Here is a 23,754-nt window from a genome sequence, read left to right on the forward strand (position 1 = left end):
CTCCTTCCACATTTGGGGTTCATTTTGCATATATGATCTTTTCACAAAACATACTAGTATTTTTCTTGCCAGTAAAACCCGTAAATGGCAACTTGGTAAATGCACAAGAAATTACAGTACCAGAAGCAAGAGTTGGCAGAAATTTTTTTTAAATCTAACCATTCAAACACAGAAATTATCAGATATAGAGTAAAAACTAATGTATTTCATAAAAATGAAAGAGCTTAAATATGAAAGGAAAAACTACATTGAAAAATGAGAATCAAGAAAAACTTCTAGATATAAAAATACGGCAGTGGAAATTTAAGCTTTCTGTATGCTTTCTAACAAAGTATTATTAATATTTACTATTGAAGAGAAAATTAAGAAGAAGATAGACTGAAAAAACCGTTATCTAAAAGTTACCCCAGATAGATAAACACATGTGCATACAATAAGAAGGTAAAAGATACAGAGGGCAAAGTGAGAAAATCTAATTGAAGTTTCAAAAAAAGAGGTAAGGCAAACTTGTAAGAGATAATAAGTAAGGCTTTCCCAGTAAAGATTAAGACACTATCCAAATTTTATAGAAACCTACAAACAGCAAAGCAAGGCTGGGCATAGTGAAAGTGCAGAACACCATCCTGGCTGAGCTGCCTTCTATACTGATTGTTCAGTCCTTTTGTGATTTCATTGCCAAATGTTTCAAATATCATCCCTGAGCATAATGGTAATAACCTTTTGATGAAACAGACCTGGGAAAAAATTCTAGTTGTTGTAATGAATTTGTGCTATGTTGAAGGTTATTCTCAACATTAAATGTGTTAGTCTTAAAATATGTCCACTAATTATATGACACTATTACCTTCAAAATGTAAAGCCAAATTTCCCATCCCTTGACTGTTGGTTGCTAGATTTCGGGACTAAAAATAATACATGGCCAAGGTATTATGTGACTTCTGAGACTAGGTCATAAATTAGGTATACTTTTTGCTTGGCACTTTCTATCTCAAATTGCTTGTTCTGAAGAAGGCAGGCTGCTATGTTGTGAAGATATCCAAACAGCTCTATGAAAAGGCCTGTGGGAAAAATTGAGACATTTTGCCAACTTGCTAGCACCAACTTGCCTGCCCGTGAATGAGCCACCTTGGAAGTGGATCTTCTATCCCCAAATATTCAAACTGACATCCCTGTGGACATTTTAATTACAACCTTATCAGAAGGGATTAGACATGACTTCTCAGCAAAGCTACTGAAACATTACTCTCCACAAACACTGTGAGAGATAATAAATGTTTATTGTGGTTTTGAGCCACTAGGTTTTGTAGTAAGTTGTTACACAGCAATAGCTAATTAATATAATAAAGTATATGACTCTATGAAAGAAGCTGGTTAAAAAGAATGTGTTAGTTTATCTGACAAAACAGAGTGGAGGGTTGGTGAAAAGGGTTTTAACAGAAATGGAAAAATAATAATAATTATTATTAACACTAAGAATAAAATATTAACAGTAAACTTTGTTTCAAAAATCATGAGAGATCCCAGGGAACTTAGAAAAGAGAACAAGTTCTGATCTACTGTCATGTTTAGATATAAATTATTGTCCAACTTAAATATTATCACAGTTCATACAGAATCTATTTTGGGAAACAAGGTTATTAATCAGTTGCCTTATGTCTATTTAATCTCTTTAACCAGAGGAAAAACAAAGAAAGAAGGTAACCCAATCTAACCTTCTTCTCATAAAGAGATTAGTGATATTTTCTAGGAGCAACAGTCCTTATTTCTGAAATGGTCTTAGGAGGATGTATTTGGCTAAAGATTATGTATAATAAATAAAATCTTTGGCTTCTGAGGCATAGCTCCCTGGAAAATGTCACATGATCTGGAGTATAAAATGAAGAAATTTCATAAATGAATCCTCTCCTTTGAAGTTATTAGCGGTTTCTCACTTTGTAATCTCACCTATTGTTGTGGACCGGATTGCTGGTGCCAAAGAAGAGAAGAAAAAAAAAAAAGACCTGGATAACTATGTGTGATTTTTTAGACATGCTTTGTGTCAGCAGCTTTACTATCTGTATTTTGAAATTATTAGCAAAGCTTAATATTGACAAATATTTATGATTTTTATGAGTCTGAACCTAGAGTGCATTTCTTTATGCTGGTTCAGCCTAGAAGAAAAAATTATCATATGTCCTATGTGTTTAGGCATCCTCAAGGCCACCCGCAGTTCATTGACTTGTTAGAAGAATTCTCTGAACTCAGAAAAATAGTTATAATCACAATTATGTTTTATTACAGTGAAAAGACACAGACTAAAGTCAGCAATGGGAAAGTCACATAGGGCAGGAAAGACCAGACACAAGCTTCTGATTGTCTTCATCCAATGAAAAAATATAGAAAATGTTTCATTCTCCCATCAAAATGATGATGACATGAAAGGAGTATTCGCCAATAAGGGAAGATTATTTGAGGCCCAGTGTCCAGGGATTTTTTTTTTTTTTTTTTTTTTTAAGACGGAGTCTTGCTCTGTCACCCAGGCTGGAGTGCAGTGGTGCGATCTCGGCTCACTGCAACCTCCACCTCCCGGGTTCAAGCAATTCTCCTGCCCTCAGCCTCCCGAGTAGCTGGGACTACAGGCGCATGCCACCATGCCTGGCTAACTTTTTGTATTTTTAGTAGAGACAGGGTTTCACCGTGTTAGCCAGGATGGTCTCGATCTCCTGGCCTCGTGATCTGCCTGCCTCAGCCTCCCAAAGTGCTGGGATTACAGGCATGAGTCACCGCACCTGGCCCAGACATTTTTACTGGGGGTTTGTCACATAGGCATGGCTGACTAGATGAGTGGCTGACCTTTAGTTTCCATCCTTTCTGGAGGTCAAGCTGATACTACATGGCCCAAGGACCATACCATAAATCACATGGTTAGCATAAGTCATATGGTGTGGCTCGAGGACTCAGGTAAACAAACACACTCTTCACAGGCAGGATATTCCAAGGGCTTACTGGTTCCCTGTCCATGTTTGGAATGTGCAAAGTTTGGACAAACCAGGCCTGCTGAGTTAATTCTTTACTCCATAACATGTATGTAATATAACTATTGTTTCTTATTTATTAAACTGGAAATATTATAATTAATAAAAATAATAGATGGGTACATAGATCAATAGGAAGCATTTAAGAAGAGAGATATATATATAGAGAGAGAGTCTAAAATCAATAGAACAGAACATCAATAGAGAATCTCCTAAATGTTTTCCTTTTAAGAGAAAAAAAAATCACAGCTGGAAGATTTGCTACATAAAAAATGAAAAGACAAAAATATACTCAGGTATATTTAAACAAGTGACTATAGCAAATAAGAGGAATAAATATTTTGGAGTTGAAATGAGTGAGAACCAAAATACATGACAATAATAGTTTAAGGGCTTGAGATAATAGAAATGTGAGTGTTTTTTTTTTTTTTTTTTGAGGAAGCAAGAATATCCATCAATTTTTATTTTAAAAATATCTGGGATTAAATAAATTTGTAAACATCTCAACTAAAATGGAACCTAATATAAAGGAATCAATCAACTTCAAAGAAATATAAAAGAAGGAAAGAACATAGAATAGACAGATCTCTTATTCATTCTCTTTTTCTCCTTCTTTCTCTTTGGACTCCTGATGTGCAAAATTGGATCAATCATTATTACTTGTTTTGACACATAATTTTCATTACAGATTTATGAATTCTTCACTGTTAATCATTCACATAGCCATCTTAAACTGCAAAAGTGCCAAAATCTGAGACATACACAGCAATCAACTAATGACATGATTCTCACCTCACCTTCACCCACCTCTACCTGAAACAAAATAACTACTTTCCTAAACTTCTTAATATTTTCTTGTTTTCTTTCCTATCTTCCCTTATAATGCTTAAAAATAATCTCCATAATTTGTTTATAAACTTATTTATGCTCCAGAACATAATCTCTTTATAAATAGAAATGTGCCAACCTTGTTCACTTCTAATTTACTAGCACCTAGAGCAACACCACGTACATCATGAATTTAATTTTTTTATTGCTAAACAAATCATGGATAAATGTATCCTTTTTTTAATTTCTAGCAATTAACACAATGCTTATTATACATATTCTAAATGTTTGCTAAAATAAACATAGATATATATTCACTAAAGCATGCACCTTTATCCTATAGTAGATAAAACTCCTACATGCCAGTGAGTAAATGCTGTATTTTTTTTCTGTCACCACATCATATTTTACAGATAGATCAATACTCTACACAGAGTAGGTATTGTATAAAAATAATAAAAAGGAAAATGACTCATTTTGAAAACGAGTGATGTTGGCATTTTAAAAACATCAAATATTTTTAAAATATACAGAAAGAAGTGGCCTATTCAGAGCACTGCTTATAGATATATTTCACTGTAAACTGCTCATTTCTGTTCCAATCTCTAGTAAGAGTCAATTAGGTCTTTCAGTCTTCCTAATCCTCTTCTAAAGCAAGTGGCACAGCTGGTATAGCTGCAAAAAAAAGATAATAACTTGTATTCTAATATTTAGCTTTGTTGTATACAAATGTGCTATAGAATTGCATCTTAGCTAGCCCATGCAGAAGTTATTTTCATCCATTTACCTCTAGGTACTTATTATTACCGAATCTAGAATGATGAATATATGCTATTCACATTTTGTAGATAGACTCTCTAGGAAATATCTGATGATACATATAATATTGTCTTCTCTTAGAAGGAATCCATATAATGGTCTTTTGGGCTATTTTTATACACAGACTTTTTAAAAATTTTAAAAACCACCAAGAAGTTTTGTCCTGTGAATGAACAAAAATTAATAATCTCAGTAGCTTGTAAACGTAAGCTACCACTTGTAAATACTTCAGAACATAAGGCATGCCAAAGGCTCAGTACCATGCCTCAAGGAGGCTTTAGGAAGACTACTGTACACACAGGAGGATGATAGCTAAGTTGCTGATTTCTCAGGTTCTACGGTCAGCAGATGGGGATTCACTTCAGGACCCAGCTTCATCCTGTTATTCATTGAGTAGAATGACCTTTTCACTGCCAATACTCTTAATTTCATGTTACCCTCACTATCCACCTTAAGTTTCGCAGTCCATCGTTATCACTATTCTCTTGCATACAACCTCAACTGCCAGACATATGATTTTTTCGTTTGTGATACTAGCCTGGCAAACCCTATCCTGCTTTAAGCCAATTGTCTACCTAGAACACCGATCTTCAAGTGGTCCTTACTTGAGAAAAACACACAACTGCTAACCTCATCTTATATCTTCATCTCTTTAAATACATCTCTACTCACTTCAAGTGTGATTCTAGTGCTATACAGAAATCACATCTCATTTCTATGGTCCACTCACTCTTACTTCTTCCCAATTCAGCTCCAACACATTCACACTGACCCTCATCCTCAACTGATCTCCTTGCCTTCTGTTTCATTGAAAAAAAAAAGGAAGCAATCAGAGGATTGTTTTCATACCTCCATATATACCTATATCCCACAAATTTAGTGCATACAGCATAAATGTACTGGGAATAATTATTTTCTTATAGTAGTTATGCCACTGACTTGCAATTCACTTAGGTTCTGTAGCTTTAGTTTGTTCTGAACATTTAGTAACTCTATTGTATATTTTATACGGTTTTTTTCAATACAATTTTTATTTTTATATAGAGTAATTGTGGATACACATGCAGTTGTAAAAAATACTACAAAAACATCCCATTGACCTATCATCTAGTTCCCCACAATGGTAACAGCTTACAAATCTATACTACAATTTTACAACCGGAGTATGGATATTAACAGAGTCAAGATTCAGAACAATTTCCTGACTGGTTTCTTGTGTTGCTCTTTTACAGCCACACACACCCTTCTGTGATCCCTGGTAACAAACAATTTATTCTATATTTCAATCAGCATAATTTCCCGGTGATTCATTCAATTTGTGTGTGTGTGGTAATTTGTGCCTTTTTATTCCTTGCTGTAGATGTACCAGTTTTTTTTCAGCAATTAATTTCATTATTTGCAAGAAAATATCCAAAAAGATATTTTAATGGCTAGACTTTAATATACTTTTTAAATGGCAAAATAGACTCTTTTTAAATTAATTTAAGAAAATTAGAATAGTTTAGACTTACAGAAAGCTTAAGAATGTAGACTGAGAATCACTATATACAGCACATCTAGTCTACTCTATTATTAATGTGAATTAATATGGTGTATCTATCACAGTGAAGGAAACAATATTAATTGATTATTATTAACTAAAGTCCAGACTTTGTTCTTATTTCTTTAGTTTTTATCTCGTTGTTTTGCTGTTCCAGGATTCCATCCAGGATGTTACATTACATTTAGTTGTGATATCTCCTGACATTTCTCTAGACTGACAGTTTCTTAGACTCTCCTTGTTTTGATGTCCTTGATAATTTGAGGAGTATTGGTTAGATATTTTGTAGAATGTCTCTTAACCAAAATTTGCCTGATGCTTCCTTCCTTCATGATCCCACTGGAGTTATGTTTTTTTTAGGAGGAAGACCACAGAAGTAAGATGCCATTCTTACCACATCATGTCTAGGGTACATACAATCAATATGATTTACCACTATTGATGCTTACCTTGATCACCTGGCTGAGCGTATTCTCCACTGTAAAATTACTCATTCACTAAATCTCTTTCCCCTGTTTAATAATGTACTTTTTGGAAAGAAGTCAGTATGAGCAGTTTATACTTAAAGAGTGAGATGTGAGAGTCTACCTACTTAAGGGGGGAGTATCTACATAAATTGATTCAATTTTGTGTGGAAAATTTGTCTTTTTTCTCTATTTACTTATTTTCCAATTATGTCAGTATAGACTTATGGATATGGATTATATAATTTGGGGTATAATCCAATATTTATTTATTTTGTGGTTTAAAATGTACCATCATTGGGTTTTTCTGTTTGCTTTTGCATACAAACTTGTTAACTCAGTCCTTTTTATCACCCAACGGTATTCCATTCTGTGGATTTAATTAACAATTTAATCATGCATTAATCTTTTGAAGGACATCTTCCTTGTCTGAAGATTTTGGCAATTGTTAATAAATCTTCTTTAAATGAATTCTTGTGCAAGACTGTGTGTGAACATAGTTTATCCAGTGAGTTTGGAAAATTTTTTAGGATGGTGATTGCTGGATTGTATGGCAAGACTACATTTAGCTTTGTAAGAAACCGATTTTTGAAGTGGTTACACCTTTTGCATTCCTCCTAGCAACAAATGAAAGTTTCTGTTGCACCACGTTCTCACCAGCTATTAGTTTTTCAAGTTTTTGTTAATTTAATTCTAAGCATTGTACTACCTATGTTGTAGTGTCTCGTTGTTCTAATTTGCATTTCTCTAATAACAAACAAGGTTGAGCATCTTTTCATATGTTTGTTTGCCATCTAAAAAATCTTCCTTGGTGAGTTATGTGCTTATATACTTGATTAATTTTTAAACTAGGTTGTATGTTTTGTGATAAAGGGTACTTTGTTCATTTTGGATATAAGTCTTCTATCAAATATATAATTTAGAAATATTTCCTCCTGGTCTGGGGCTTTTGTTTCTATTCACTTGATCGTGTCAGAGCAAAGGGTATTAATTCTAATAAAGCCTAGCTTATCATTTTTATTTAAGGATAGTACTCTTAATCGTATCTAAAAATCTAATCCAAAAAACCAACGTCATATAGATTTTACCCGTATGCTTGTTTTCTTTTAGATGTTTTAGTTTTGCATTTTACATTTAGGTTTATAATGCACTTTTGAGTTAATATTTGCATAAGCTGCAAAGTTGTCATCTAAGTTCATTTTTTTGCATGTAAATGCCCAATTGCTTCAACTCCATTTGTTGAACCAAAAAGTACCCATTTTTCATTGAAGTGTATTTGCACCTATGTTAAAAATTAGTAGATTATATTTCTGTTGGTTTTGGCTCTCTATGTTTCACTGATCTATATATCTATTCTTACATCAATATCAAACTCCCTTGATTACTGAAGCATTTACCAAGTCTTGAAATAACATAGTGCAATTCCTTCAACTTTGTTGTTGTCTTTTTTGTTTATTTCCTTATGCTTCTTCAATATTTTGTTGGATAATATATTTCCTTTGCCTTTATATTTAAACTATAGAATCTGTAAGTCACTAAACATAAAATCAGTTGCTGGGCTTTTGTTTGAGATTGTATTAAATCTATCAATCAGGTTAGAAATCACTGAAATCTTCACAATAGCGAGTCTTCCAATCCATGAATATAAATTATCTCTTCATTTACTTAGCTCTTCTTTGATTTATTCATCACTCTTTTATAGTTATTCCCATACAAATCCTGCATATATTTTAAAATTTATATTTAATTATCTAAATTTCTGGTATATAGTAATATTTTTAAGTAATATCAAATTCCAAATTTGTACTCCTTACATATATAAAAGCAATTTATTTTTGTCTAATAACCTTATATCCTGTGATGTTGTTCTACTTGATTAAAAGTTTCAGGATTTCTTTGTGTGTGGGTGGGTTCTTTGAAGTTTTGTACAAACAATAGCATGTCATTTGTGAATAAAGGCATTTTTATTTCTTTCTTTCCAGTCTTTACATTTTTTTATTAATTTTTCTTATAAGAAAGGACATGCTTGCTTTCTTCACAATCTTAGAAAGTGACTATGTTTAGTCACCATTAAGTATGATGTTAGCTGGAGAATTTTCATATTTATGATTTACTGGATTAAGAAATTTCCCTTCTATTTTGTAGGGATTTTTGGTGAGTTTTACCATAAATATGTTTTAAATTGTGTTACTTTTTTTCTGAATCCATTAATATTATAAACATATATACACATATATATATATTCTTATTCAGTCTACTAATATGATGAAATGCATTCCTGATCTTTGAATGTTAAATCAGCCTTGCATTTCTTTTGTGAAGCCAAATTGGTCAGCATGCATTTTCCTTTTTATATATTACCAAATTGATTTTTAAATACTTGCCGAGTATTTTTGCAATTGCGGTCATAAGACATATTGATCTATAGTTTCCTTTTTCTATGATAACTTTATGTGGTTTTCATATTAGGGTAATTTTGGCCTCATAAAATTAATTAGGGAGTCTTCTTTCTATTTCCATTACCTGAAATACATTGAGGAGAATTAGTATTACTTCGTCCTTAACACTTTGATAGAATTTACCATTTTAGCCCAGTACTTTCTTGTTTGGAAGATTAATTACTGATTCAATTTCTTTTATAGACATAAGACTATTCAGGTTACCCTATTTCTCTTTGAGTCAGTTGGTAGTTTGCATCTTTCAAAGATCTGGACCATTTCATCTACATTATGGAATTTGTGAGTATAGAGTTGTTTGTATTATTTACTTATTATCCTTTCAATGTCTGTTGATGACATTACTGATGATTCCCTTTTCATTTCTGATACTGGTAACCTGTGTAATCTCTCTTTTTATTTGGTTACCTTGATATAGGTTGATCAATCTTATTGATCTTTTTGAAGAACTAGCTTTTGGTTTTGTTGATTTTCTCTATTATTTTCCTGTTTTACTCTGTCAACATCTGCTCTAGTTTTATTATTTCTACTAGCACTATTTCTCTTTTCTCTCTATTTTCCTAAGGTAGAAGCTAAGGTTACTAATTTTAGATATTCCTTACTTTAAAACATATAAATTTAATGATATAAATATCCCTCTAACTACAGTTTTAGCTGAATAACAAAAATTTTGATGAGTTCTATTTTCATATTGATTTAGTTAAAAATATTTAAAATTACTTTTCATATTTCTGACCAGGCATGGTGGATCATTACTGTAATATCAGCACTTAGGAAGGCAGAGACAGGAGGGTAATTTGAACCCAGGAGTTTGAGACCTGCCTGGGCAACATAGCAAATCCCCGTTCTCCACAAAAAGAGAAAAAGAAAAGTGCAACTGCAGATTTCTTCTTTAAACAATAGTCATTTAGAAATGTTTTATTTAATGTCTAAGTATTTAAGGGTTTTCCAATATTCTGTTACCAATTTCTAGCTTAATTTGACTTTGATCTGAGAATATACTTTGTATTATTTCTAGTCATTTTGTCAAACTGTGTTTTATGGTAAAGAATATAGTATTTCACCATACATTTTCCTTGTGATTTTGACAAGAATATGGTTTCTGTTGTTGTTAGAATCAGTATTTTAGCAACACCAATTAAATTAAGGGTCAGCAACCATGTTGTTACTGATTTTTTGGCCTGCTTTCTCTAATCATTACTGACAAAGTAATGTTGAAACATCCAAATTGAATAGCATAGTTGTCTATTTTTCTCATCCTCCTGGTAGGCCACAAGAAGAACTTAAAGGACACCTGAAAAGGGGCTCAGGAAAGTGTGGGTGCACACAGCAATTCATCACAATAAGGAGTATTTTTTTTTCTTTTTTCAATTTGTATCTCCAGCAGCTTTTGCTCTAAATAAGCAGATCTTGATTCCTGTGTCCCTCTGTGTCTTTTTGCAGATTTTCAGATGGCGGTTTGTTCTTTGACTTTAATTCTCTTTAGTTCACTGATTTTCCATTTTCCAGCCTTTCTTTGTTTTAAGAAAATGAGTGGTGACAAGTTCTTTACATATTTGATCTGAATATACTTTTATGTTTGAACTTCCTAATAGTTTAGTATTGTGCAAAGTATCACACCACTTCAAAAACTTGCTATAGGTTTTCCCTATGTGAATATTCTACAGTTGACATTGTACTTGCATCCAGCAAGTTTCTATACAGAAAGAGAGAAAATTTTTAAAAAGACATGACTTCAATATTTGTTATTTATGGATGAGAATAATGTCAAACATTACCTTTTAGAATCATGCAATTTTATAATTGAAAACTGACTCAAAGGTAATCTAATCTAACAACCTTGCCTTGTAAATAAACCTTAACCCATAAAGAAAAGGCCTGCGTCCTTAATACAATTTTCAGTATCTCAGAAAGTAATTTATTAAATTGATTATGGTGACAGATTAATTATCTTACCTTCAAAAAATAAACAGATATGTTTCCCCAAATCTACCTATACAATGAAACTCAACCCTATCCGTTAAATTCTGCAGAAAAAAAAAATCTGATACTTTCCACATATATTTTCACAATTATGTTTTTCAAGAAGCATTTCAAGTAGTATAATTAATCAGAAACCACATGAACATAAAATGGTAAACAATAGAAGCCTTAGCACTTGTAGGTAAGTGTGTCCGGAAATCACAGGAAATTTTAGAATGTTTTGGGTTCTGAAATCCTGTTATGCTTGGTCTCCAGCTGTGTCATGCAAGAGCCTGCTTTTCATAGTAAGTTGTTCACAGCAGGAAGGTTAGCCAAGTAAGGAATTAATGAGCAAAAATGGCCTAACATTTAAGGAAGTAATGTTCTGCAAGCATTACAAACAATCACTGCTTCTACCCTAGGTTTTCTGTTTATTTTTAGAATTTTAAACATTTGTTAAATGACAATTGAGCCATTGATGACTACTTCCAGTCAATCAGAAAGTGCACAGCTTTAGCTTGTAAAGCAAGCCTTTCCCCACACAAGCTTTTTGCCTACCTTGAGAGTAGTGATATTCACATTAATATTAACTGTATACACTGTAACAAATGGTTTTAGATATTAGCAATTTTGTTTCTTGCCCTGATTACTTGTTTAGTCTATAATTACAAATATATACCTTTCTTCGACCTGTGCTTTAACATATCTGAAAGGATCTTTGTGTAGAAAAAGAGATGTGAGTGCCATCTCTATGTCTATAAAACAAATTAAGGAAAAAAGTCAAAATTAAACACATTTTATATTACAAATAAGAAAATATTTTGAAGCTTTGGAAAAATCTAGGAATCTGCTATTTTCAAAATCCAGAAATTTGCATTTCAAAAATAATACAAAGTAAATTAAGACAGAAAATAGACACAAAATGTCAAAAACATAAGCAACTCATTATTTTTCAAAAAAGAGGAAAAAGAAACATAAATAAGAACTGTTTACTCATGCTGAATTTTGAAAGAAGACTATGGAATTCTGAGCTAAAGAATAATGACCCTTGGTTGCAATTAGGAAACAATGAAAAAACAATCATAGCTATAAAAAGTGAATGTAGAAGTTTCAAGTCTTTAAGTAAACAAAGAAACAAGACACCTAGAGTCATGAACATTAGAAAAATATGTTAAACTATTTGATTCCAACTGCAAATTTAGTTAATTATATGCTGTGATATCTCTACCAATTGAAGGTCCACATTCTGTATAAATTACTTCCTTAATGGGAATCTCACTATTAATTAATCAAACCAATTGAGGCTCTCAGACATCTTGCTGAAATTGAGAACTACCTGAGACTGAGTAATTTATGAAGAAAAGAAGTTTAATTGACTCACAGTTCTGCAGGCTTAATAGAAAGCATGGCTGGGAGGCCTCAGGAAACTTAAAATCATGGCTGAAGGTGGAGGGGAAGCAAGCAAGTCTTACCACGGTGGAGAAGGAGGAAGAGAGAGAGAAGGGGGAAGTGCCACACACTTTTAAACCACCAGATCTCGTGAGAACTCACTCACTGTCACAAGAACAGCATGAGGGAACTGCCCCCATGTTCCAGTCACCTCAGACCAGGCCTCTCCTCCAATTTGACATGAGATTTGGGCAGGGACACAAATCCAACCATATCAAGTGTATTTTGACTATATCAAACAGTCTTTAAGATCTTTGGGCTTATCTTTAAATTTCAAGGGTATTTGCATTGTACCACAGAACGTGTCTATATTTGGTTTTGTACCAATCTTTCAGTGAGTGAGATACACCTATAAAATTTAAAAAAACAAACAAAAAAAAACTGCATTGTACAACACCAGACCACATTGCTTGCTTCAGTTTCCTAGGAAATACTCTCCTTTGTCTACAGGTCAGAGCATTCTTACAAAAAGGTTCATGTAATAACATGCATTTAAATGGCTACTGTACGTGTACTATATAATAGGCTATCTCAAGATAATCTTGAAGGAGAAGCTCTGAAAATGCTATTAAATAGGTGATGATTGAATACAGTTTTTAAAAAGTATTGAGTACAATATACCACAATTACTGTATATGGAAATTTTGCAAGTTTTTCTTCCTGGTGAGAAGGCAAATTGTTTGTTTCAGACAAAGGACTGAAAAAGTCTCTGATCCATTGGTATGTCTTTCTTTTAACGTGTTAAATAAATGCTTATTTAAAGAGAGTAAAAAAAAAAAAAGACTTGGTTGTTTTGTTATTTTTAAACCAAGAATTCTTTAATTTTTCGTAATGTAATTATCCACATTCTAAAAGGATACATAATCCTTACTCATTTTATCCAACTCTAAGATCTTATTTTCTCTGCATCAATTTTGTCATAGTTTGCCATCGCCATTGCTGCTTCAGAATGAGACAGAAAGGCTGCTTAGTTTCCCATTTTTATGTGATTTAGAGAAAACAGCAAAAGCTCTTTATTCAAGCCGTAGCTTTCCTAACTTCCAGCCATTCCACAACAAAAGATAAAGGAAGCGGCTAAGCACAAGTTATTGCTTTAGGGGGCTAGCGACTTCCTCGGGGCCCCATATGTGTAGTTAGACTTAAACTTCAACATATAATCACCCCTTCCCAAGGGTGGAGATTTAAAATGTTACATGTGATGCATAAAGAGGCATGTAAAACCACTGCAAAAGCACTAGAGAAATTCCTTCTATAAATGCCCTGATGAAACCCTTCCCTATAGAAGGGCCCTGTAAAACTAATCTACCCTTGGGGAGCAGTCCATTTTTCTTTCACGGTGCTGACTTTCCTTGTGCACAAGCTAAACGAAACTCTCTCTTTCTCTTTGCTGGCTATGTCTGGTGATCTGTCTTTTCCACCCTGGGAGATCACAACCTAGGGCGCCAATTACAGGAGTGCCCAACCTTGAATGAAAAACATCTGCTAAGTGAGTAACTTTGGTAATTCGTTCTTTATCACCAAGAGGATGATGCCATTTATTTACCGTATTTGGCTTTCCATTCCTTGTCATAATATCTTTCTACCCCGTAAAAATAAAAAGTAAATACTTATTTTCTGTGTTCATAAGAATTTGACCAACAGTTTATCCTACAAAAACCGGAATACATCCACTTAATAAGGTAACGTAATAAGGTGAAGTGCAAAAGCACTTCTATATCATTAAATGTTTGTACATTAAAAATGTGCTTCAACCCGGGAGGCGGAGCTTGCAGGGAGGCGGAGCTTGCAGTGAGCCGAGATCGTACCACTGCACTCCAGCCTGGGCAACAGAGCGAGACTCCATCTCAAAAAGAAAAAAAAAACAAAATGGGAGGCTGAGGTGGGAGGATCACGGGGTCAGGAGATCAAGACCATCCTGGCTAACATGGTGAAACCCCGTCTGCACTAAAAAATACAAAAAAATTAGCCGGGCGTGGTGGCGGGCACCTGTAGTCCCAGCTACTTCAGAGGTTGAGGCAGGAGAATGGCGTGAACCCTGGAGGTGGAGCTTGCAGTGACCGAGATTGCGCCACTGCACTCCAGCCTGGGCAACAGAGCGAGACTCCGTCACAAAAAAAAAAAAAAGTGCTTCAAGCAAAATTAAAACAAAACTTAAGTGTACCCAAGTAAAGGAGTATAAGAGGAATACACTTAGGTGCAGAAAATAAATGGCTATATGATGACAACTGGTTCTCAATGTCCTTAATCTTCTATGTGTGTGTTCACCTACCATTTTGCCTAGAACAGACTTGGCCTCATCTCTAGTCTGTCTGTACAAGTATTTTTCCCAGTAAATTTTGTACATACACATACATATGTGGCACACTCATATTTTTAAAAATTTCTTTCCAAAAAATTGTATTAGGCTCTTGATTAAGATGAATGCAAAGTTCTTATTATTAATATAAAGACACATAAAGTAACCATATTCTTAATGGTTATGTTTTATACAACCCTAGAAGTACACAGATTCACCTCAGCCTTTTAACCAAATTTTCAAATGTTTCTTAGTATTTTAATATGCTTTGTGGAACGGTATTATTCAAAGTTCTCTCTCTCTCTCTCTTTTTCTGTGTGTGTGTGTGTGTCTGTGTGTATGTGTTGAGTGTGTGTGTGTGTGTGTGTTCTCTTAAAGAGCCTCATATGTATATATTTGACATGCAGGACTTACAAAATTGTCTTCTTTGATATAATATTTATGTTCCATGAATTTTCAGGTCTGAACTTGAAGACTGTTTTGAGTAATTTTTATTTGCTTGTCTATTCTGTCAACTCCTAAACAATTATTTGGCACATCTATATTTTGAATATGAGTGTGTGTGTGTACACGTTTGCACAGGCAGGCATATGCATAAATGTGTATGTATGTTTTTCTTCCAAAAGGAACACAATTACCTTTTAAATAAATTAACAGAAATGCTTGTTTTATGAGTCAGAATGTTCTCACACAAAGGATGTCAAGGAGAAGATTCATTTGTAAATCCAGTAATAGCATGTACCTTTTAAATAATAATTTAAGAATACCCTAATGATGTTTAGATTATTTGCATTTTCTCACTACTGATTTCACTTAGGGGAATCTCAGGGTAAAGTCTATGTCAGGGCAACCATAAACTTTTCAAGTTGTGTTAAAAATATTTTCTCACTCCCTTTGCTTATTGTTTCCTCTCCACCAAAACTATGTACTTACTGTGCCACAGCGCTCACCCATGGGTCATTTCCCCTGAAAACGCAGTCTTCCTAAGCCAGTGGCCCACATATTTTTTCTGCAAAAAGGTAGATAGTAATATTTTCAGGTTTATGTAGCATAAGATCTCTTGCAACTACTCAAGTCTGCTGTTGTAGTGCACCGTGGCCATAGACTATAGTTAAATGACTGTGACTAATACAAGTTTATTTACAAAAGCTTTATTTACAAAAATAGTAGGACAAATTTCAGATTTGCCTTTAAGTCTTAGTTTGCCTAATCTGTACTAAGTGATCACTTTCAGTACTATGGCAATATTTATTTGTTTCTTTCTTTTTACCAACATAAAAACCATGACATATGTAGGTAATTATATTACACAAATTACTACGCAATTGCAAACTGTAGCTTTGTATATAAATATGTGCATATATACATATATATTGTATTTATATATGCTGTAGCTTTGTATATATACTATACAGAGACTATATATATATATTCTCTCTTCCCTTTTCTACCTAATTTATATACATATAATATATATATATAAAATATATGATGTACATGATATATATCATATTAGTCCATTCCATAATCTTAACTGGGAACATGACTGCAAGGCCTCGGGAAACATAGTCATGGTGAAAGGCAAAGAGGAAGCAAGCGACTTCTTAACATGGTGGCAGGAGAGAGAGAGCGCAAAGCTGGAGATGTCACACACATTCAAACACCAGATCTCATGAGAAGTCACTCACTGTTATGAGAACAGTGTGGGGGAAGTCCACTCTCATGATTCAGTCACCTCTCACTAGACCCCTCCCTTGATATATGGGGATTACAATTTAAGATTGGATTTGAGTGGAGACACAGAACCAAAGCATTTCATTCCACCCCTAACCCCTCCCAAATCTTATGTCCTTCTCAAAGTTCAAAACAGCCACGCCTTCCCAACAGTCCCCACAAAGTCTTAACTCATTCCAGCATTAACCCAAAAATCCAAATCCAAAGTGTCATTTGAGACAAGACAAGTCCCTTCCACATATAAGCCTGTAAAATCATAAACAAGTGAGTTACTTCCAAGATACAATGTGGGTATAGGCATTGGGTAAATGCTCCCATTGCAAAAAGGATAAATTGGCCAAAACCAAGGGGCTACAGACTCCATACAAGTACAAAACCCAGCAGAGCAGTCAGTAAATCCTACACCTCCAAAATAATCTTCTTTGACTACATGTCTCACATGCAGAGCATGCTGATGCAAGGAGTGGGCTCCCAAAGCCTTGAGAAGCTCCAACCCTGTGGCTCTGTAGTATACAGCCCTTGCAGCTGCTTTCACAGGATGGCATTTAGGGCCTGCAGCTTCTCCAGAAGCATGGTGCAAACTATCAGTGGATCTATCATTCTGGGGTCTGGAGGATGGTGGCCTTCTTCTCACAGCTCCACTAGGTAGTGCCCAGTGGGGACTCAGTGTGGGGGCTCCTACAACCTATTTTTCTCTTATACTGGCCTAGTAGTAATTCTCTATGAGGGCTCTGCTCCTGCAGCAGACTTCTGCCTTGACATCCATTCATTTCCATACATCCTCTGAAATCTAGGCAGAGGTTTCCATACCTCAACTCTTGTCTTCTGTGCATGTGCAGGCTGAACACCTTGTAGAAGCCACCACGGCTTCGGGCTTGCACGCTCTGAAGCAATGGCCCAAGCTACACCTTGACCCTTTTTAGATATTGCTGAAGCTGGAGGGGTTAGGACACAGAGCATCATGTCCCAAGGTTGCACAGAGTAGTCGGACCCTGAGCCTGTCCCATGAAACCATTTTTCCTTCCTAGGCCTCCAGGCCTGTGATGGGAGGGGCTGCTGTGAAGATCTCTGGTATGACTTAAGAGATATTTTCTTTATTGTCTTAGCTATTAACACTTGGCTCCTCTTTACTTACTCAAATATTTGCAGCCAGCCAGCTTGAATTTCTCCACAGAAAATGTTATTTTATTTTCTACCACATAGTCAGGCTGCAAATTTACAAAATTGTTATGCTCTGCTTCCCTCTTAAACATAAATTCCAATTTCAGACCATCTCTTTGTGAATGCATACGACTGTATGCTGTGAGAACCTGGCAGGTTAAATCTTGAATGCTTTTCTGGTTAGAAATTTCTTCTGCCAGATACCCTAAATCACCTCTCTCATGTTCAAAGTTCCACAGATCCCTAGAGCAAGGGCACAATGCCATCAGTCTCTTTGCTAAAGCATAGCAAGAGTGACCTATGCTCCAGTTCTCAAGAAGATCCTCATTTCCATCTGAAACCACCTCAGCCCGGACTTTACTGTCATATCACTATCAGAATTTTGGTCAAAACTATTCAACAAGTCTCTAGGAAGTTCCCACCTTTCCCACATCTTACTGTCTTCTTCTGAGCCCTACAAACTACTCCAACCTCTGTCTGTTACCCAGTTCCAAAGTCACTTCCACGTTTTCAGGTATCTTTACAGCAGTGCCCCATTCTTCTGGTACCAATTTTCTATATTAGTCTGTTCTGACACTGCTATAAAGAGCTACTTGAGACTGAGTAATTTATAAAGAAAAGAGGTTTAATTGACTCTCAGTTCCACAGACTTAACAGGAAACATGACTGGGAGGCCTCAGTAAACTTACAATCACGACAGAAGGTAAAGGGAAGCAAGGCACCTTCTTCACATAGCAGCAGGAGAGAGAAAGAGCAAAGCGACAAGTGCCACACATTTTCAAACAACCAGATCTCATGAGAACTCACTCACTATCATGAGAACAGCAAGGGGGAAGTCTGTCTTATGATGTAACTACCTCCCACCAGGACCCTCCTCTGACACATGAGGATTACAATTTGACATGAGATTTGGGTGGGGAAACAGAGCCAACCCATATCATATCATAAACACACAAACACACACACAGAAGAGAGATAATATGTATATCATATATATAGACACCCATATGTATCTATGTGTATATATAAAGAGATCTATATGTATTTATGTGCATATATATTTATGTATATATATAGAGAAAAAAACACAAAGAGAAAGAAAGAGAAAGGGACAGTCATTTTTAATAACTTCATTTAATTTTATGTTATGGGTGAATCACAATTTAGGTGATACCTGAAAGATTTCTCCACTGTAAAGTTAGTATAATCCTTTGACAAATAAGTATCTAATAGAGAGGCATTTTGAGAACATGTGAATAGTCTGTACTCTTGCAATTTTCACTCATTAATTTTATTTTCCATTGATTATGTTTGCCTGTACCAATTATTATTATGGGGGATGCTACCCTGAAAAGTTCTTACTCTATTTTTATCATTTATACATTATTTTTCTACTCTATGAAAGAGACTTTCTTTGTAATTACTTATTAGTTAATTAATTATATCAGTATAGACTCATAGACTCCTATTATATTTAATGAGATATTGCATCTGTTCACCTGTTTCACAGCTTTTCATCTTGTTTTGTATTTTTAAACTCATGTATAAGAGTAGTTTTAAACTTCTTGTTTAATCATCCAGCATGTGGCTTATCTCAGAATATATTCATATTTGTTTTTTGGTTTTTTTTTTGTCATGACTCATATGTTTGTGCTTCTTTACCCATTTGGTATTTTTTGTTGCATGTTGGCCCTGTGAATACTATATTGTTGAGTTTCTGGATTTTGCTGCTTTCTCTAAAGAGGGGCAAATTTTATTCGTTTAAAAAAATAGTATATGGTGGCCGGGCACGGTGGCTCACGCCTGTAATCCCAGCACTTTGGGAGGCCGAGACAGGCGGATCACGAGGTCAGGAGATAGAGACCATCTTGGCTAAAATGGTGAAACCCTGTCTCTACTAAAAATAGGAAAATATTAGCCAGGCGTAGTGGCGGGCACCTGTAGTCCCAGCTACTAGGGTGGCTGAGGCAGAATTGTGTGAACCCGGGAGGCAGAGCTTGCAGTGAGCCGAGACGGCGCCACTGCACTCCAGCCTGGGCAAGTGAGCGAGACTCTGTCTCAAAAAAAAAAAAAAAAAAATAGTATATGGTAAACAGACTTATCCTCTTAAAATCTGTTTTTAGGCTTTATTGAGTACCTCTAGGGGTATTCAAAAGCATCTTTGCACTCTCAATGGCCAGATTCTAAGGTCCCACAGCACTGTGTTATCACTGGAATTTTTATTTGGCTCATAGGCTCCATGGACCTCATCTCTGCAAAACCTTGTAGTCTTACTCTGTGTATGTGCAGTTTAGTAACTGACCAAAGACTCAAGGATGAACCTGTGAATATTACTGGCTCTCTTTCTCTGCTCTCTCTCCTTCTCTCATTCTTTGGCATGCCTTTTCTTATGTACTTTTCCTCTCAAATTTTAATTTAATAGCCTCAAACATCAATCTGTTTTTTCTTTACTCATTGTGTGATGTATTTTGGAGAATGTCCAAAGACAGAAAGCTTGGGTGAACCTGTAGTTTATCATGTCTGTTTCCCTACTCTAAAGATACCAGTCCTGTCTTCTCTGTTGTCCAATTTTAAAATCACTTATTAAATGTTGGCCGCTTATCTATTTGTTTAAGTCAAATACACATTAATTTATTATAAATAGACTTGAAAGTCAGCCTTTCTTTGAAGTTGAGTAAAATTTAGAAATAATTTTACAAAAATAAATAAAAACTGGTTCTGAATATAAAGATAAAGGAAGAAAAGTTAGAAGAAAAATACATATTACAAGAAGAAAGACAGGAAAATATAGAGTTCTTTTTAGTTTTAGAACATCTTAGGCAATACAATCTTTGCCTAAATGAGAAAAAAATCTCAGAGTAGAGATTTTAAAAATTGCAAAAGTCATTAAATAGCATTGAAAAACAATTAAGGTGAGTGAGGAAGAGCTTAAGAAAAGTTAAATAGAGGAAATTGTTACAAATTGCAAGGGTCATTTTTGAAACAAAAAAATAAAAATTGATTAAACATACCTGAACAGAAGAATAAAAACAAAATAAAAATAAAAGAATCTCAAAATGTACTTTATTGTTCACATGTATTTAATGTTCCTTACAAAACAAATGGGAAAATGATAAAAAGGAAAATATAATGTAATAATACATTTTCTGGAATAAAATTTAGAATGTAGAAATTGTAAGCATATAGTTTGTTATGGGCTAAGAATTAAAAGAAATAGGCCAGGCATGGTGGCTCACACCTGTAATCCTAGCACTTTGGGAGGCCAAGGCAGGCAGATCACCTGAGGTCAGGAGTTCCAGACTAGCCTGGCCAACATGGTGAGACCCCGTCTCTACTAAAAATACAAAAATTAGCCTGGCATGGTGGCAGGCACCTGTAATTCCAGCTACTCAGGAGGCTAAGGCAGGAGAATCACTTGAACCTGGGAGGTGGAGGTTGCAGTGAGCCATTGCACCCCAGCTTGGGCAACAAGAGCAAAACTGTCTAAAAAAACGAATTAAAAGGAATATCACCAATATACATTCTGGAGAAATTAAAGATAAGACAAGTAACATAGAGGAATGCAGAAACAAACAATTGTCTATGAAGATCTGATTTGAAGACAACTTAATCTAAAAATTTCAACTTATCTTCTTTTCCTTTCAGAAACACATATTCCACATAGATTTATATTGAAGCATATAAGAACAAAAAGCACATGCATCTCTTGAGTGCATTTCAGATATACTATTACATAATAAAGCTTATCTCCCAAGTCAAGAACTCCAGAATGCAGAAGTATTCATAAAATTAAAAGTTTTGAACACATAATTTATTTTGTACAATGAGGAGAAAACATTTGGGGCTTTAATTACATAATAGACTAGATATAACAAGCTTTGAAAATATAGATGAAAATATTTTATGTGAACATAAAATGCAAAATTTATGACACCTTTCAAGTCATTATGGTAAAATTAGGTTTTAATTAGTGTATCATCAAATAATAAAATACTAGGCAAAGGGGTAAGTATTGATATTGAACAATGCCCATAATTTATTAAATGAAAATAATAATTTTTGATACAGCATATACAATTCAAATGCACCTTGGTAAAGTATGATTGTGTGTGTGTGTGTGTGATATGAATATGAATGTGCAGAATTATGTCTAGAAATACATAAAGCAAAACATTAAGGAGATCTCTGGCTGATAAGATTATAAACGTTTTTCAGTCAAACCTTTCTGTATTGCTTATTTAGAATGTACATGCATTAATTTTTATAAACATGGAAGAAAAAAGTATATATTTATATTTTAAAGGCAAGTCAATATTGCTGGACTGTTCTCCAGGTAGCCTTGGACTAATTCAATTCTCTTCCCTTTCTTGCTTGTAGCTCCCAAGAATGTAACTGCAGGATGTACTGGGAATGCAATATGGCGAGATAAGAGAGTAGCTGGCCAGAACAGCCCAGGTTCTGTTCCAGTCCCTTCTTAGAAAAGAATGCCCTTCAATGCTTTTGCCCAATGATTCACATAACCCTGGGCTGTATAAGTCAGAGTGATTTGCAGGGTCCCTTAGCTAGGATGCAAGTGGGGCACATGCAATCAAGACGCCATCTCCAAGCTGGGCAGCTTTCCTGAGCCCTAGGAGACCAGCTCACAGTGAATCTTAGGCTTCTGTTGTCCCTCGCTGCTATCTGTAATAAACTCACTTTGTGAAACTTGTGCACATGGGTGTTATGTCTTACCACACAAGATAAGTTGGTAACTAGTCACAGTGAAACTGCTTAATATAGCACACACACTTTATATATAAAAATAGATTATAAGATATAGATTGCCTAACAGTGTCAAAGCAACAAACATTTAAACAATATTTAATGAATCATAAATTTGGAAATGGAACACAGTAATAAGAAAAATCATGATATAGCAAATCATAAAGAACAGTTTGGAGGATGTTGTATGGGATAATCAATTTCAAAATAATATTATCCAGGTAATCTGAGAGAACACTGTGTGTTTGTGGCGCAACTCTTCCAATAAGAACATTTCTGTGCATGTTTCAAGCTGAGGGAAACTTTCAGCAAATTGTTCAATGCATTCTATCTAACCTATTTTCTTGGATTTAAGAGATAAATAGCCTCAAAGAAAATCAATTATTGTCAGTTAACCTTAGGTTTGAAAATAAAAACATATATAATTGTGACAATTTGTTTAATTCTGTGGCGCTGGCATAGCCTCAGTAGTAAATGGAGATTTAGAAGTGCAACTGGGGCCATTGGTACCCGTTACATTAAGAAAGGAAGGAGATTCTGAATGCTCCTTTAGGTATAAAGATTATTTGATTTGATATCCCTGTGGGTGGTATGTGTCAAGAGAGAAAAACGGATTCCATTTCACATGTGAGCTAACTTTGGATGTTAAGAGAAGCAAGTTATAGGAAGAAGTTTGGAGACCATAGATTAGGGACTTATTCAGTCCCTAAATAATTCAGAATGTTTAGTTCTATGTGTTTCGTTGTTCATAATAACTTATGATGAACAATGAAACACATATTTAGTGTTTAACTAAAAGTAATAACTTTATTATGAACAACTAAACACATATTAGAGAGGAAAAAAATTGTAATACATTATTATACATATCTGAAGTAGGTGAAAAATAAAGTAATATAATTGAAGACACCAATGAAAGCAATAAACTTTCACACTTTAGTTCTATGGATCATTAATGTAAGTTAATATGTTACATTTCCTGCAATGTATCCTGATACATCAATGTGTTTTTCACAGCAGCAAGGGGTGCTTTTGCTTCTGTTGCCCACTTGAGTACTGTACTAGGATGGGCCTGAGGATGCTATTCATTGCCTTGGGCCTGATGCTGTGTCACAGGCCTAGGCCAGGTCACCTTTCTTCAACCTCTTTCCTGAGAATCAACACAAGGGCTATCACACCTCTTACGACTGTCTTTCTTACTAGCCCCTGTACTTTTTTTTGCTTTAACAAACACATTAACTGCAAGCCAAAATATACTTTTGTGAAATTA

At 34.6% G+C, this 23,754-nt stretch overlaps 1 long non-coding RNA gene across 3 annotated transcripts in view; it reads right to left on the reverse strand.

Annotated features, from left to right (window-relative positions):
• Positions 1-23,754, reverse strand: part of LOC105379102 (uncharacterized) — a 328,753-nt gene that overhangs the window by 89,790 nt on the left and 215,209 nt on the right. For all 3 annotated transcript variants that reach the window (XR_007058891.1, XR_948628.3, XR_001742829.2), the window contains one exon: positions 15,762-15,837. This is a non-coding gene — a long non-coding RNA (uncharacterized LOC105379102). The remainder of the gene's footprint in view (positions 1-15,761; positions 15,838-23,754) is intronic.

This window comes from Homo sapiens, chromosome 5, assembly GCF_000001405.40.
Source record: "Homo sapiens chromosome 5, GRCh38.p14 Primary Assembly".
NCBI classification, from domain to species: Eukaryota; Metazoa; Chordata; class Mammalia; order Primates; family Hominidae; genus Homo; species Homo sapiens.